Source organism: Homo sapiens, chromosome 2 (genome assembly GCF_000001405.40).
Source record: "Homo sapiens chromosome 2, GRCh38.p14 Primary Assembly".
Lineage (NCBI taxonomy): Eukaryota > Metazoa > Chordata > Mammalia > Primates > Hominidae > Homo > Homo sapiens.
The window spans coordinates 202,825,846-202,844,011 of record NC_000002.12 but is presented as its reverse complement, the minus strand read 5'-3'; the positions used below and the strand labels follow the sequence as shown (position 1 = coordinate 202,844,011).

At 39.8% G+C, this 18,166-nt stretch overlaps 1 protein-coding gene and 1 pseudogene across 4 annotated transcripts in view; both read left to right on the top strand.

Moving 5' to 3' along the window:
* Positions 1-18,166, top strand: part of ICA1L (islet cell autoantigen 1 like) — a 98,591-nt gene that overhangs the window by 27,755 nt on the left and 52,670 nt on the right. For 3 of the 4 annotated variants that reach the window (NM_001288622.3, NM_138468.7, NM_001288623.2), the window contains one exon: positions 14,996-15,164. In NM_001288622.3, coding sequence (NP_001275551.1) covers positions 15,003-15,164 — 162 coding nt within the window. In that variant the 5' untranslated portion in view covers positions 14,996-15,002. Of the gene's footprint in view, positions 1-14,777; positions 15,165-18,166 lie in introns of those variants that run through there. The other variant, NM_001288624.2, reaches the window with a different exon arrangement.
* Positions 2,155-3,926, top strand: KRT8P15 (keratin 8 pseudogene 15; annotated as a pseudogene).

Below are 18,166 nucleotides of genomic sequence, written 5' to 3'. Positions count from 1 at the left end.
AATCAAAAAGAATAAACTGGGAAAAGCTAAGGAAAAAAAACACATTCATTGCTTCTGATAAGGTAGGGATTGGCAAGAAAGTGATACAAGGAAACTTTCTGGGAAGTTGGAAATGTTCTATATAAGATATCCATTTGTCAAAAGTATACAGCTAAAGAGTTTGCACCCTGGGCCCTAGAGCCAAGCTCTTGCTGTGTGTGGCTGAACGCTGGGTACCAGCTCTGCTGCCACAGAGATCTTGGCTTTACCCCAATCCTAGAGCTACTCTAATGCTGCACTCACTAGTGCTCTTATTCTCAGTTCTCTTAGCTGTTTAACAAGCATCTGCATCTCGCATTCTGTTACACAGCAGCAAGGATCCCTGCATCCCAGACACCAATGCCATTACTACCTGGGAACTCAGAACTGCAGTACCTCCACACATTTGTGCATCAGGCCTGAGTTCTGTGATTATTCCATGGGTGCTACTCATCAGGCACCAGTGCCAAGAGGGATCCCTTCAGCCATAGCTTCTCTGATGGGAAAAAAAATAGATTGGGGTGATCTTAGCAGTCATTGCCACCAAAGACCCCAACAACTCTTGCGCCACTGCAGAAACTCAGAACGTTGGTTGCTATGGATCCCTGTGATTTTTATCCATACCAATCTCAGCAGACAGAGCTGCACAGAGACCACACAGCTGGCACCCTGACTAGTGCCAGAACCACTGCACCCCACCCCATGGAGGAAAGTCAGTCCACAATGAAACTAGCCCATAAAGTCTACAAAAGGTAACTGTTCCACTAAGAGCACAGACATTAATGTAAGGCAACAAGAAAAATGGGAGACATAATACCACCTAAAAAACATAACCTCCCAGTAGCTGACCCCAAAGAAATGGACATATATAAACTGCCTCTCAAATAATATAAAATAATTGCTTTAAGTTTAGTGAATTTAAAGAAAAATACAGAGAAACATTTCACTGAAATCAGCAAAACAATAGATGACCAAAATAAGAAATGTAACAGATTAAAATTATTTTTTTAAAAAAATCAAATTCTGGAGCTGAAAAATACAATTAATGAACTAAAAAATGCAGTAGAGAGCATTAACAGCAGACTTGATGAAGCAGAAGAATTAATATGTGAACTCAAAGACAGATTATTTCAAAACATACAGTCAGAGAAGAAAAAATGAAGCTTAGAAGATTTAAAGCTTATAAGATTTTCTCAAAAGAGCAAATATCCTAGTTATAGGAGTTTAAGCAGAAGAAGAGAGGGACAAAGGACCAGAAAGTTTACTTAAATAAATAATAGCAGAAAAATTTCCAAATCTGAGGAAAGGTATAAATATCCAGGTATGAGAAGGTCAAAGGTCTCCAATCAGATTCAACCTGAACAAGATTACACTAAGATATAATCAAACTGTCAAAAATCAAAGATGAAGAGAGCATCCTGAAAGTAGCAAGAGAAAAGCAAATCACATACAAAGGAGTTCCAATAAGGCTAGAAGTGGATTCTCAGGAGAAACCTACAGGCCAGTAGAGAGTGGGATGATAAATTCCATGTGCTGAAGGAAAAAATAAAACTGTCAAACAACAATACTTTACTTGACAAAGTAGACCTCCAGAAATGATGGAGATAAAAGCTTTCTCAAACAAAAACTGAGGTAGTTCATCACCACCAGATGTGTCTTACAAGAAATGATAAAGGGAGTTCTTCAAGCTGAGAGGAAAGGATGCTAATGAGTAACACAAAAACATCTAAAAGTATAAAACTCATTGGTACAATTACACAAATTTAGAATAATAGTATAATGGTGGGTCTTTAATATGAATGTTAAAAAACAAAACTATTAAAAATAATGGCTGCAATAGGCCTGGTGCGGTGGCCCATGCCTGTAATCCCAGCACTTTGGGAGGCTGAGGCAGGCAGATCACCTGAGGTCAGGAGTTCGAGACCAGCCTGGCCAACATGGTGAAACCTCGTCTTCACTAAAAAAAAATACCAAAATTAGCTGGGCCTGGTGGTAGGTGCCTGTAATCCCAGCTACTCGGGAGACTAAGGCAGGAGAATCACTTGAACCTGGGAGGTTAAGGAGCCAAGATCATGCCACTGCACTCCAGTCTGGGCAACAAGAACAAAACTCTATCTAAAAAAAAAAAAAAAATAGACCAAGAAGCAGCTTCCCTGCTCCTTCTGGGATCTCCATCTGGTTCAGCCCACCTGCCTCCACTCCTGCATCAACCATGTCCATCATGGTGACCCAGAAGTCCTACAAGGTGTCCACCAGAGGTGGTCCTCTGGCCCCCAGGCCTTCGGCAACTGCTCCTATGCGCGTGGGCCCGGTGCCTGCATCAGCTCCTTGAGCTTCTCCCGAGTGGGCAGCAGCATCTTTCGGGGTGTCCTGGGTGGAAGTTATGGTGGGGCCAGTGGCATGGGAAGCATCACTGCTGTCACAGTCAACCAGAGCCTGCTGAGCCCCCTTAACCTGGAGGTGGAACCCAACATCCAGGCCGTGTGCACCCAGGAGAAGGACCCTCAACAACAAATTTGCCTCCTCCATAGACAAGGTACAATTCCTGGAGCAGCAGAACAAGATGCTGGAGACCAAGTGGAGCCCTCCTGCAGCAGCAGAAGATGGCTTAGAGCAACACGGACAACATGTTCGAGAGCTACATCAACAGCCTTAAGCAGCAGCTGGAGACTCTGGGCTTGGAAAGGCTGAAGCTGGAGGCAGAGCTTGGCAACATGCCAGGGCTGGTGGAAGACTTCAAGAACAAATATGAGGATGAGATCAACAAACGTACAGAGATGGAGAATGAATTTGTCCTCATCAGGCAGTATGTGGATGAAGCTTATATGAACAAGGTAGAGCTAGAGTCTTGCCTGGAAGGGCTGACTGAAGAGATCAACCTCCTCGGGCAGCTGTATGAAGAGGAGATCCAGAAGCTGCAGTCCCAGATCTTGGACACATCTGTGGTGCTGTGCATGAACAACAGCCACTCCCTGGACATGGACAGCATCATCGCTGAGGTCAAGGCGCAGTATGAGGAGATGGCCAACCACAGCCAGGCTGAGGCTGAGAGCATGTACCAGATCAAGTATGAGGAACTGCAGACGCTGGCTGGGAAGCACGGGGATGACCTGCGGCATGCAAAGACTGAGATCTGGGATGAACCAGAACGTCAGCCAGCTCCAGGCTGAGATTGAGGGCCTCAAAGGCCAGAGAGTTTCCCTGGAGGCTGCCATCGCAGATGCCTAGCAGTGTGGGGAGTTGGCTGTTAAGGATGCCAATGCCAAGCTCTCCGAGCTGGAGGCTGCCCTGCAGCGGGCCAAGCAGGACATGGCGTAGCAGCTGCATGAGTACCAGGAACTGACGAACATCAGGCTGGCCCTGGACATCAAGATCACCATCTACAGGAAGCTGCTGGAGGGCGAGGAGAGCCAGTTGGAGTCTGGGATGCAGAACATGAATATCCATATGAAGACCACCAGTGGCTATGCAGGTGGTCTGAGCTCGGCCTATGAGGGTCTCACAAGCCCCAGCCTCAGCTATGGCCTCGGCTCCAGCTTTGGCTCTGGCATGGGCTCCATCTCCTTCAGCCACACCAGCTTCACCAGGGCCATAGTTGTGAAGAAGATTGAGATCCACGATGGGAAGCTGGTGTCCGAGTCCTCTGATGTCCTGCCCAAGTGAACAGCTGCAGCAGCTCCTCCCAGTGTGCCCCTCCTGCAGCTGCCCCAGAGCTTGGGAGGGAGGCCGCTGTGCAGGGGAGCACAGGGAACAGGAGACCCACCTGAGGCTCAGCCCTAGCCCTCAGCCCACCCGTTCGTGAGTTTACTGCCTGGGGATCCCCCTTGCCCATTCCTCCAGCTACAAAACAATTCAATCGCTTTTTTTTTTTTTTTGGTCCAAAATAAAACCTCAGCTAGCTCTGCAAAAAAAAAAAAAAATTAAAAATTAAAAAAAATAATAATAATGGCTACAATAATTTATTAAGGGATATACAATATAAAAAGATGTAAATTGTGACATCAAAACCATAAAATGTCAGGCAGGGTAAAGTGTATACAATCAAAGTTAAGTTGTAATCAGCTTAACATAGCCTGTTATAACTATAAGCTGTTTTATGTAAGCCTCATGGTAAACACAAAGCAAAAACCTATAGTGGATAAACGAAAGATACAAAGTAAGGAATTAAAGCATACCACTAGAGAAAAATCGTCTAATCACAAAGGAAGAAGGCATGAAAGGAAAAAAGAACAAAAGAGCTGTAAAACAACCAGAAAACAATGAACAAAATGGTAGTACTAAGTCCTTACCTATCAATAATTACCTTGAATGTAAATAGATTAAATTCTTCAACCAAAAGGCAGACTGGCTGAATAGGTTAAAAAACAAAACAAAACACACACACACACACACACACACACACACACACACACACACACACACACACACACACACAGACTTAACTGTATGCTGCCTGGAAGAGACTCACTTCACCTTTTTTTTTTTTTTTTTTTTTGAGACGGAGTCTCACTCTGTTGCCCAGGCTGGAGTGCAGTGGTGCACTCTTGGCTCACTGCAAGCTCTGCCTCCCAGGTTCATGCCATTCTCCTGCCTCAGCCTCCTGAGTAGCTGGGACTACAGGTGCCTGCCACCACACTCAGCTAATTTTTATATTTTTAGTAGAGACGGGGTTTCACCTTGTTAGCCAGGACGGTCTCGATCTTCTGACCTTGTGATCCACCTGCCTCAGTCTCCCAAAGTGCTGGGATTACAGGCTTGAGCCACCGCGCCCAGCCAAGACTCACTTCACCTTTAAGGACACATTTAGATTAACTGAAAGGATGGAAAAAGATTCCATTCAAATGGAACCAAAAGAGAGTGGGGTTAGATATAATTATATCAGGTGCAGTACACCGATATGGTTTGGATATTTTGTCCCCTCCCAATCTGATGTTGAAATATGACTTCCAGTGTTGGAGGTGGGCCTGGTGAGAGGTGTTTGGATCTTGGAGCAGAGCCCTCATGGATGGCTTGGTACTGTCCCCATGGTGATAAGTGAGTCCTCACGGGATTTGGTTGTTTAAGGGAGTATTGTGCCTCGCCCTTCTTCTCTTACTCCTTTTCTTACCATGTGATGCACTGGATCCCAATCCCTTTCCACCATAAGGAAAAGCTCCCTGAGGCCTCATCAGAAGCAGTGCTAGCACCGTACTTCCTGTACAACCGGCAGAACCATGAGCCAATTAAACCTCTTTTATTTATAAATTACCCAGCTTCAGGTATTTCTTTATAGCAACACAGAAATTGACACACACTTTGTCAAAAAACTATAAAATGAGACAATTATTATATAATGAAAAGGGATCAATTCATCAAGAAGATATAATAATTGCAAATATGTGTTACATGCAACATCAGAGTTCCTAAATATATAAAGCAAATATTAATAGATCTGAAGAGATAGATAGCAATGCAATAATAGGAGACTTTAATACCCCACTGTCAACAATGGACAGATACCCAGAAAGAAATTCAGTAAGGAAACACTGGAATTCAACTACATTTTAGACCAAATGGATATAACATATATATGCAGAACATTCCATCCAATATTAACAGAATACAAATTCTTCTCAAGAACACATGGAACATTCTCCAGAATAGATCATGTCTTAGGCCACAATATAAGTCTTAAAAATTTATTAATTGAAATTAGGTAGCTTTTTCAATTGCAATGGTATGAAACTCGAAATAATAAGAACATTTGAAAATTCACAAATATGTGGAAATTAAACATCATGATCCTAAACAACAAACGTGTCAAAAAAGAAATTTAAAAGGAAATTTTAAAAATCTTAAAACTGCTGGGAACAGTGGCTACACCTGTAATCCCAGCAGTTTGGGAGGCCGAGGTGGGTGGGCCACCTGAGGTCAGGAGATCGAGATCAGCCTGGCCAACATGGTGAAACCCCGCCTTACTAAAAATACAAAAAATTAGCCAGGCGTGGTGGTGGGCGCCTATAATCCCAACTCCTTGGGAGGCTGAGACAGGAGAATCTCATGAACCCGAGAGGCAGAGGTTGCAGTGAGCCCAGATCACACCATTGCACTCCAGCCTGAGCAACAAGAGTGAAACTCCATCTCAAGACAAATAAATAAAATCTTGAAACAAACAAAAATGGAAATACAATATCCCAAAACTTAAGAGATGTTGCAAAAGAAGTTCGAAGAGAGAAGTTTATAGCAATGAATGCCTGTATCAAAAAAAAAAGAAAAGCCCTAAATAAACAACCTAATGTTATCCCTTAAGGAACTAGAAAAAGATGAACAAACTAAGCCCAAAGTTAGGAGAAAGAAGAAAATCATAAATATCAGAGCAGAAATAAATAGAGACTAGAAAAACAGTAGAAAAGATTAAAAGAAGAGCTGGTTTTGAAAAGAGAAGGCCGGGTGCGGTGGCTCACGCTTGTAATCCCAGCACTTTGGGAGGCTGAGGTGGGCGGATCACGAGGTCAGGAGATCAAGACCACGGTGAAACCCTGTCTCTACTAAAAATACAAAAAATTAGCTGGGTGTGGTGGCAGGCGCCTGTAATCCCAGCTACTCAGGAGGCTGAGGCAGGAGAATGGCGTGAACCCGGGAGGTGGAGCTTGCAGTGAGCCGAGATCGCACCACTGCACTCCAGCTTGGGTGACAGAGACTCTGTCTCAAAAAAACAAAAACAAAAAAAAACAACAACGGAAAATTGGTAAGCCTTTAGTTAGATTAATAAAAAAGAGGAAATGCTTAAAATCAGAAATGAAAGAGGGAGACATTACAGCTGATACCACAGAAATACAAAGGATCATAGACTACTATAAAAAATGATACACAGGCCGGGTGCAGTGGCTCATGCCTATAATCCCAGCACTTTGGGAGGCCGAGGTGGGCGGATCACTTGAGGTCAGGAGTTTAAGACCAGCCTGGCCAACATGGCGAAACCCCATCTCTAATAAAAATACAAAAATTACCTGGGCTTGGTGGCACACACCTGTAATCCCAGAAACTTGGGAGGCTGAGGCAGGAGAATTGCTTGAACCCGGGAGGTGGAGATTGCAGTGAGCCAAGATCGTGCCACTGCACTCCAGCCTGGGCATCCAAATGAGACTCCATCTAAAAAAATATCTATATCTATATATCTGTATCTATATCTATATATCTATATATATCTATATATATAGATATACACACACTAACAAATTGTATAACCTAAAAGAAATGGGTAAATTCCTAGACACATACCAACTTATAAAGACTAAATCATGAAGAAATTGATAATTTGAAAAGACCAATAATGAGTAAGGAGATTGAATCAGTAATAAGAAGTCTCCCATTAAAGAAAAGGCCAAACTTGATGATGCCACTACTGAATACTACCAAACATTTAGACAATTAAAACCAATCCTTCTGAAACTCTTCCAAAAAATTGAAAAGGAAGGAGATCTTCCAAACTAATTTTACAAAGGCCTGATACCAAAGGCAGACAAAAACAGTACAAGAAAAGCAAATTATAGGCCAATATCTTTGATAAACATAGATGCAGAAATCCTCAAGAAAATACTAGCAAACCAAATTCAACAGCACATTAGAAGGGTCATTCACCATGATCAAGTGGGATTTATCACTGTGAATCTGCATATTCACCATATGCGAATCAATAGTGATACACCATATTTACAGAATAAAGGACAAAAACTTTATAATTATCTCAATAGATACAAAAAAGGCATTCAACAAAATTCAGCATCCTTTCATGACAGAAACACTCAACAAATGAGGTAGAGAAAGAATGTCTCTCAACGTAATAAAGGCCTTGTATGACAAGCCCGTAGCTAACATAATGCTCAGTGAAAAATTGAAAGTTTTTTTTTCTGAAATCAAGAACAAGACAAGTATGCCCACTTTCAGCGCTTCCATTCAACACAGTATTGGAACTCCTAGCTAGAATAATTAGGCAAGAGAAAGAAATAAAAGGCTTTCAGATTGTCAGTGAAGAAGTTAAATCGTCTGTTTGCGGACAATGTGATTTTATATTTAGAAAACTCTGAAGACTCCACCAAAAAACTATTACAAGTAATACATTCAGTAAAGTTGCAGGATACAAAATTAACACAAAAATCAGTAGTGGTCAGACATGGTGGTTTATAACTGTAATCCCAGGACGTTGGGAGGCTGAGGTGGAAGGATCACTGGAAGACAGGAGTTTGAGACCAGCCTGGACAACATAGTGAGACACCCATCTCTACAAAAAATAAAAAAAAAATTAGCCAGGTGTGGTGGCACAAACTGTAGTCCTAGATGCTTGGGAGCCTGAGGTGGGAGAATTGCTTGAGCCCAGGAGTTTGAGGTTACAGTGAGCCATGATCATGCCATTGCACTCCGGCCTGGGTAACAGAGTAAGACTACGTCTCAAAAAAAAAAAAAATCAGTAGCATTTCTACATACTAACAACAAACTATCTGATAAATCTGGCCAGGTGGGGTCCCTCACGCCTGTAATCCCAGCACTTTGGGAGGCCAAGGTGGGAGGATCACTTGAGGTCAAGAGTTTGAGACCAGCCTGGCCAACATGGTGAAACCCTGTCTCTAGTAAAAATACAAAAATTAGCCAGGTGTGGTGGCATGCACCTGTAATCCCAGCTACTCAGGAGACTGAGGCAGGAGAATTGTTTGAATTTGGGAGGTGGAGGCTGCAGCACCACTGCACTCCAGCCTAGGCAACAGAGCAAGACTCTGTCAAAAAAAAAAAAAAAAAAAAAAAGGAAGAAATCAATAAAACAATGCCATTGACAGTAGCTAGTAAAAAAATTAAAATACTTAGGAATAAATTTAACCAAGGAGATTTAAAATGTATACACATTTTAAAACATTATGTCATACATCATAAATATAAATATATACAATTTTTACTTGTCAATTAAAAATAAGTAAGCCTGGGCAACATAGTGGGACATTGTCACTACAAAAATAAAAATAAATTAGCCAGGCATGTTGGTGTGTTGCCTGTGGTCCCAGCTACTCCAGAAGCTTAGGTGGGAGGATTACTTGAGCCCAGGAGTTTGAGACTGCAGTGAGCTATGATTGTGCCACTGTACTCTAACCCAGGCAACAGAGTGAGACCCTGAATCTGTAAGTAAAATAAGTAATGAAAAAAATATATAGCTAAAAATTAGAGATTTCAGTGTATGTAAATTTAATGAAAAAGAACTATATGATGATGATGATGGAGTGAGGTGGTAAAGAATGAGTAAACATATCAATGATGTTTTTAAAATGGCAGCACCTTGATAATTGAGCTGCTATTTTATTGTTGTCTGTGTGTGGTAGGGTTTTTTGTTTTTGTTTTTTTGAGACAGAGTCTGGCTCTGTCACCCAGGCTAGAGTGCAGTGGCACAATCCTGGCTCTCTGCAACCTCCACCTCCCAGTGTCAAGTGATCCTCCCACCTCAGCCTCCCTAGTAGCAGGGACTGCAGGTACTTGCACCACGCCCAGCTAATTTTTGTATTTTTTGTAGAGAAAGGATCTTGCCATGTTGCCCACGCTGGTCTTGAACTCCCAAGCTCAAGTTATCCACCCGCCTCAGCCTCTCAAAGTGCTGGGATTACAGGTGTGAGCCACCACACCCGGCCTCTATGCATGTTAAAGTTATATAATGTGAAGAAATTAAGAAAGAAACAATAATCTTATATTTACCAGGACATTTAACAATTACAGTCCTTCCATTCTTTTCTATAAATCCAAATTATCTGGTGTAATTTTCTTTAAGACTGAAGAATTTGTTAAAATTTTACTTCAAAAATTATTTTTAATTGAGAAAATGGTAAATATTTGTCATGTACATTACGTTTGAAACACTGTGGAATGGCTAAATCAACATAATTAACATATGTATTACCTCATCTTTTTTTGTGGTAAGAACACTAAAAATCCTGCCTCATAGATATCTCCAAGAATATAATACATTGTTATTAACTATAGTCCCTTTGTTGTACAATAGAACTTACTCCTCCTAACTGAAATTTTGTGTCCTTTGACAAACATCTTCCCAATACCCCTCCCCCCAGCCTCTGGTAACTACCATTCTACTCTCTACGTCTATTAGTTCAACTTTTTTAGATTTTACATGTAATTGAGATCATGTGGTATTTGTCTTTCAGATTTATCCATGTTGTCACAAATGACAGGATTTCTTTCTTTTTAAAGGCTGAATAGTATTCCATTGAGTATATATACCATATTTTTTAATATGTTCAGCTGTGATATACATAACATCTGTAATGTTAGCATTTCTGAAAGTCTCCAGATCTGATCAGGTAGTCTCTCAGAGCTTTATTTGAAAATATCTTTATTTTGCTTTCCTTCTTTTTATTTTTTAATTTTTTATTTTTTTAGAGACAGGCTGTCACTCTGTCGCCCAGGCTGGAGTGCAGTGGTGTGATTATAGTTCACTGCAGCCTCAAACTCCTGGGATGAAGCAATCCTTCTGCCTCAGCCTCCTGAGTAGCTGGGACTAAAGGCTCACACCACCATACATGGCTAATGTTTCTTTTATTTTTTTGTAGATATGGAGTCTTGCCATCTTGGCCAGACTGGTCTTGAGCTCCTGGGCGCCAGTGATCCTCCCCCACAGCCTCCCAAAGTCCTGGGATTACAGGCCTGAGCCACTGTGCTCCCACTACTTTCATTTTTAAAAGGACAGTTTCAGTAGATGTGGAATTAGGGGTCAACAGGTTTTTCTCCTCTCAGTACCTTAAATATATCCTTCCATTTAGTCTGACTTTTTTTTGTTTTTATTGAGAACTGACCTGTTTGTATTTTTGTTACCTTGTGTGTAATATGCCATTTTTCTCTGTTGCTTTCAAGATAGGTTTTCTTTGCTATCTTTTTTTTTCCCTATATAGATTTAAGCAGTTTGTCTGTGATGTGTCTATTTGTGTTTTCTTTGTATTATCCTGCGTGGGGTTTGTCATTTAGCTTATTGGATCTGTAAATTAATGTCATTCACAAATCTGGGGATGTTTTATTTATTTGAATATTTTTCTATCCCATTCTATCTCTTCTTTGGGTTCTCCTCCTTCCTCCTCCCACCCCTTGCCCCAGTTTTTAGATTGGTAATTTTTGGTAAGAAGAACTTTTGACTTCTGCCATCTTCAGTTTGCTCTTAATCTTGTCCAGTTATTATTATTTTTTTAAGAGGCAGTCTGTCACACAGTCTGTCACCCAGGCAGGAGTGCAGTGGCATAATCATAGCTCACTGTAACCTCAAACTTCAGGGCTCAAGAGATCCTCTTGTATCAGCCTCCCAAAATGCTGGGATTACAGGTGTGAGCCTCCACATCCAGCTGCAGTGAATTTTAAATTACAGTTACTGAACTTTGTAACTGGAGAGTTTGAGTTTTACTTGTTTTCTAATATTTTCAGTGTGTTCATTTATTGTGCATACATCCTACTTTAAGTCTGTGTATATGTTAATAATAGTTGGTTTAATAATTATCTCATAATTGCAGTATCTGGGAAATCTTTTTTTTTTTTTTTTTTTTGTGACGGAGTCTCACTCTGTCGACCAGGCTGGAGTGCAGTGGCTCACTGCAACCTCCGCCTTCCGGGTTCAAGCGATTTTCCTGCCTCAGCCTCCCATATCTGGGAAATCTCTGGAGTCTGTTTTTATTGACTGCCCTTTCCCCACTGGAGTATGGGTCACATGTTCCTATTTCTTTATATGTCTAGTGTTTTTTGATTGGATACTTGGGATTTTGAATGATGCATTTGAGAGATTCTGGATTCTGTTTTGCTTCTCTGAAAAAGAATTTTTATTCTAGAAGCCAGTTAACTTGACTGAACTCAGACTCCAAACTGTCTCCTCTGGAGTGGTAGTGCTGAAATCTTCACTTAGTTATTTCCTCTTTCAATGGCTGATTTTCTGCCACGATTCCTGGGTTTCCCTCCCTTGCCTCATGATTCGTTTAGTGATTAGCACAGGTCTTGGGAGGACTTTATACACAAATTTTGGGGTTTCCTCCTCTTTGGCTCCCTCCCTTTTATGAAATCCCTCCTAAATATCTGATAGTTCTGCCAGCCTTGAACTCTGTTATCTGATATGTCAAGCCAGTAAGACTTGGCTTCCTGCCTAACCTACCCCCAGTGGCAAGCAGATTTAGCAGTGCCCTTGGTCATAAAAACCACAAATGTGCAAATCTCACCTTTTGCAGATTTATCCTCCCAGTCACTTTCTCCCTTTGCCAGGGAACGTGTGCCCTCTGCAGGCAAGATAGTTTCCAGAAATGGAGGAGTCTAGTTTTTTGCTGTCCAATCAGATGTTACTCTTTCTCTCCCAAAGAGATATGGAGAGAGTGGTTGCGAGGACAGGAGTATATTGTTTGAGCTACATCAATATGGAAGTTGATGTAGGGAGAGGTATTCTCTCCTGATACTCCCTAGTATTTTGTTCTTCGAATTGAGCCTAAACCTGCAGTCAGTTTAGTAGAAGAGATTAACAGTTTGTCATATAGTTGGACTGCTGATAATTATAAAGTTGGGAGTGGAGGGAAGGAGGAGGAGGACTGAAAGCAGTTGAGAGCAACCAAAAGCAGAAAGAAACTGGATGGGAAAGAAAAACTAAGTTTCTCTCAAGACGCTTGATGTGTCAGGACAGTATAATGCTTATATCAAATCCATGCTCCCTAGGTACCCAAATTAAATTCCCTCTCTATTCCAAATTATGTCCAGAGAAATTATTCAGGATAACATATTAAGAGGTTTGGCAATTAAATGGTGATTAATATATACTGCCCAGGAATATGGGAGGATATCCAAAGGATAATAATCTAGAGGCTATCTGGAAAATTGGCCACTTTGTGGACTTTACAGCTTGTCCTTGTTCTATTTTATGCTTTTTATTTAAATCTACTTTGTCTGATATTAATATAGCTATTCTAATTTCATTTTGCTTCTATTTACCTGGTATATCTTAACTCATATCTTTATTTTTATCTTTGTGTCCTTTTGTTTTAGGTAGATCTCAAATAGCATATAGTTGGATTTCGATTTTTGTTTTTTATGATTCGAGATTCTTTGTATTTAAAAAGAAGTTTGCATCTATCATACTAAATAATATAATTGTTCTTCTTCCATCTTCTTGTTTTGTACTGTGTGTTACATGCCTTACTCTTGTTTTTCCCACTCGGTCTTTTGCTTTTGCTAAAGTTTTTCTGGCTCTTTTGTTTTACCCCCAGTAATTTGGAAATTAGACATTCTATTTTTATTTAATTAGTAATTACTTCAAATTAAAAGAAAGTGAACCTCTATTTCTTTACTAACATGAAAAATACAATAGCATGTATCGATGTGCCTGGAAATAACGAATGAGTCACATACTTTAGTATTTCCCTTTTGTTCCTACTCTTACAGTTTGTTGGAATAATTTGGGCTTTAGATCCAAAATGTTATTAGTATTTATTCTTTTTACATATCCTTAAAGAAATACTTTTCACTCTGCATTTCCTTATATAGCCATGTTAACCTTGTTAAGAATAACTTCTTGGAGGTTATTTTTTATTTTTTATTTTTTTTGAGACGGAGTCTCGCTCTGTTGTCAGGCTGGAGTGCAGTGGCGTGATCTTGGCTCACTGCAACCTCCGCCTCCTGGGTTCAAGTGATTCTCCTGCCTCAGCCTCCTGAGTAGCTGGGATTACAGGTACGTGCCACCATGCCCGGCTAATTTTTTGTATTTTAGTAGAGACAGGGTTTCACTATGTTGGCCAGGATGGTCTCGATCTCCTGACCTCATGATCCACTCACCTCGGCATCTGCCCACCTCGGCCTCCCAAAGTGTTGGGATTACAGGCATGAGCCACTGCACCTAGCATATGTTAATTTTTATGTTTACAGTTTACAATGTCCATCTGTATTTCTTTTATAACATATCTTCCCTTATACTTAAGGACTTTATTTGTGTTGATTTATTGGACACTAAAATATTTCTTTGAGTGATTTTTAAAGAGTATGTGTTGGAATCTTTGCATATCTGAAAATATTAAATGGATGTTTGACATAGCGATTATAACTATAGGAAATTTTCCTAAGGAACTGATACTAGTATGTAAAGATGTATGTACAAGTTTATTTTGCAGTTTTATTACAAAAGCAAAACTTAGAAAGTAATAAACATCTATAAATAGATATCAAATAAAATATAATTTTTTCTAGACATAACTGCAAAATCGTAAGTTTTATTACGTTTGTCATCTAACTAAAATTAATATAAATATAATTAATCTTTTGCCTGTTTCTTGTGCAAGTTGAAATTATAGCATACATTTAGACCATATAAAGCAAGTATTAGCATGTCTGACTGAGAACATTAATATTAGGGGCCAGATGTGGTAGTTCGCACCTGTAATCCCAGTGCTGCATGAGGCTGAGGCAGGAGATTGCTTGAGCCCACATTATTCTGAACTATGATTGCACCACTACACTCCAGCATGAGCGATGGAACGAGACCCTGACTCTAAAAAAAAATTACATTTAGTACCTTTTTTCCATTTGTCAGATTAAATATTGGCTAGCTAAACATATTTATTGAGTTTTTTTTGGTTTTTTTGTTTGTTTGTTTTTTGTTTTTGTTTTTGAGACGGAGTCTCGCTTTGTCTCCCAGGCTGGAGTGCAGTGGCGCGATCTCGGCTCACCGCAAGCTCCGCCTCCCGGGTTCACGCCATTCTCTGCCTCAGCCTCCGGAGTAGCTGGGACTACAGGCGCCCGCCACCATGCCCGGCTAATTTTTTTTTGTATTTTTAGTAGAGACAGGGTTTCACCGTGTTAGCCAGGATGGTCTCGATCTCATGACCGCGTGATCCGCTCGCCTCAGCCTCCCAAAGTTGTGGAATTACAGGCGTGAGCCACCGTGCCCAGCCTATTATTGAGAATTTTTAAAAGAAGTTTAATTTTAGTCTGTTCATTGTAGTCACTCCATGGATTCCTTTGGGCAACCCAGACCAGAAGATAATCAGTCAGTAGTCAGAAGAATGCAAAAGAAATACTGGAAAACTAAACAGGTCTTTATCAAAGCAACAGGAAAAAAAGAGGATGAGCACTTGGTGGCGTCTGATGCTGAACTGGATGCTAAACTTGAGGTAAATTTGAGGATTCTATGTATTGCATATAACCAGCCATTATTTGGGGCTCCAAGGGGAACTGCAACAGGTTTTCACACTGGAGAGTTTATGAGGATAAATGCAAATTTGATAATAGAATGTTTAGTTGTATCCATCTGTCAATCAGAGCTCTGAATAGGAGGTCACGGCTCTCACAAACTGAAAATTTGCAAAATTGGTATTCACTAACTTAGATAAAATATGAATAAAGTAGTTTCTCTGGCATGCATAGTTTTCAAGCTAAGTCTTAATGATTACATTCCCAGTTGAGACCATATACTCATTATATATCAAGTCATACTATTTTGTAGTACTTTGATGTGAAGTCTTATACCTCACTGAAATAATTAAAATCAAATAGCAAATGAAGATAATAGTTATTGTTTCTATTTTATTAAAAGATAGAGTTATTGAAATATTTCCTAATGCCTTTTTTGGCTGTTTTTTATTTTAAATAATTGCCATGAAACAATTTTAAACCAATAAATGGTTTAAAGTAATTAGGCTAATAGAGAAGAGTGTAATATAAATGAATTAAAAAGTCTGTTTTTTTTTTTTTTTTTGGATGGAGGTTCGCTCTGGTTGCCCAGGCTGGAGTGCAATGGGGCGATCTTGGCTCACCACCACCTCTGCCTTCTAGGTTCAAGGGATTCTCCTGCCTCAGCCCCCTGAGTAGCTGGGATTACAGGCATGTACCACCATTCCCAGCTAATTTTGTATTTTTAGTAGAGACAGGGTTTCTCCATGTTGGCCAGGCTGGTCTCGAACTCCTGACCTCAGGTAAGCCACTGTGCCCAGCCCAAGTCTGAATTTTTAAATGCAGATTTACTAACTCAGCATATATATACTAATTAAAGCTAACTCTTAACAAATATTTCTAAGCAGGGATTCTGTTATGCTTGGAATATAATCATTATGGTGGGATTCTTAAAAATATGAGTCTAATTAAACTGGTCTTGATCAAGTATTTTCATCCTGCAAAAAGTAAACTTACCTCATTGCCAAAACAAATATGGAAATAGATAAAAATTTAACGAGCTTTTACTATTTGTGTTGAAAAGTATTTCTAGGATTCAATGACAAATGTGTAAAAATGAAGACTTTATTATTATTGGTGTTGTATGTTTTAACGCAACAGGAACTTGTTCCAGATATATTCCCATAGAAGTGGGAATATATAAGGTTTTGGTATTGTTTTACATTGTTAGGTCATCTGTGGGTGACATGTTTTATATTCAGTGTAAATCTGGCCATTAGATGAATATTTGGAATCAAGAACTTTCTCCCACATTTGTACTATTTTTTTAAGAATGAGAAACAGTTTTATTATAAAAATAAAAATAGTACATAAACCTTGCAAAGACCTATGGAAAAAATAATCAAGCATAGTCACTTCATCTTAGTAGAACTATCTTTTCTGTATTTTTTTTTTTTGAGATGGAGTCTCACTCTGTTGCCCAGGCTGGAGTGCAGTGGCACGATCTTGGCTCACTGCAACCTCCGCCTCCCGGGTTCAAGCGATTCTCCTGCCTCAGCTTCTGAATAGCTGGGATTACAGGAGCCTGCCACCATGGCTGGCTAATTTTTGTATTTTTAGTAGAGACAGGGTTTCAGCATGCTGGCCAGGCTGGTCTCAAACTCCTGACCTCAGGCGATCCACCCGCCTCAGCCTCCCAAAGTGCTGGAATTACAGGCATGAGCCACCGCGCCCAGCCTTTTGCATTCTTTTCTAATCTTCTTCCATATGCATTTAAAACAGATTTTACAATTGCCAAATCCAGATACCAAATGCACTTCAAACATGTCTAAACTCATAAGGAAAATTGATGCCTGCTCCTCCTTTTAAGATTTTAGTGTTTATTATCAATCTTCTTTAGGTTTGATCAAACATCAAAATAATAATAAAAACTGCTCCACAGATAGAATGTTCAGGCTTCTTGATGATATTAGGCATCTGACAATAAAAGGGTTAGGGCTTAATATTATATAGCAGTACCAAGGTCTTCTTGAACTAAGTCACATAAAAATTATTTAGTGTAGATTCTGAACAGACAGGCCTTGCTAAAAAAAAAAAAAAATCTGTAATCCCAGAACTTTGGGAGGCTGAGGCAGGTGGATCACAAGGTCAGGAGTTCAAGACCAGCCTGGCCAAGATGGTGAAACCCCATCTCTACTAAAAATACAAAAATTAGCTGGGCACGGTAATGGGCATCTGTAATCCCAGCTACTCAGGAGGTTGAGCCAGAAGAATCGCTTGAACCCAGGCGGTAGAAGTTGCAGTGAGCCGAGATTGCACCACTGCACTCCAGCCTGGGTGACAGAGTGAGACTCCATCTCAAAAAAAAGTCCTCATTGTATCTGTACTGTAAAACTTATGCTTGCTTGTTTATCTGGGAACACCTACATTAATGTGTGTGAAGAGTTATGTCATGTATATAGTGTGGCCTCATCTCAAATTTTCACGTGCTTAATTTTGAAATGAGAGTCTACTGGATATTTTATTTCTTTTCTGTTAGCAATTAGCAGCAGTAGTAATGAAAGAATTAATATCTATAGAAAATTCTAAAAAAAGAATATAAAAATAATTTATATTTGATGTTATAATACATTATTTAATTTTTATAGTAAATTCACTAATCTGTTTTGTTTAGACCAGTATGAGAGAAAAGCCAGACTTCGAGTTAATACTTTGTAAGGTTATCTGCACTCTCATCTGTGGTTGGCAATATTTGATGCAGTTTATATTAGATTTATGTTGTTGTTATTTAGATAGTTTGGAGCTGAGATGAGGACAGGAGCTGAGATGAGGACAAACTCTTCAGTTTTAATTTTTTGTTTGCTCCCATATATTTATCATTTTTTTCCAGCTCTCATGGGGGAATGTGCTTTCTACATCGGAAGTAAAACCAAAACTGAAGCATGTCATAGCCAAGAAAAATAGACATAATGTTTTTAAAACAGACATAATACTTAGAAGAAAA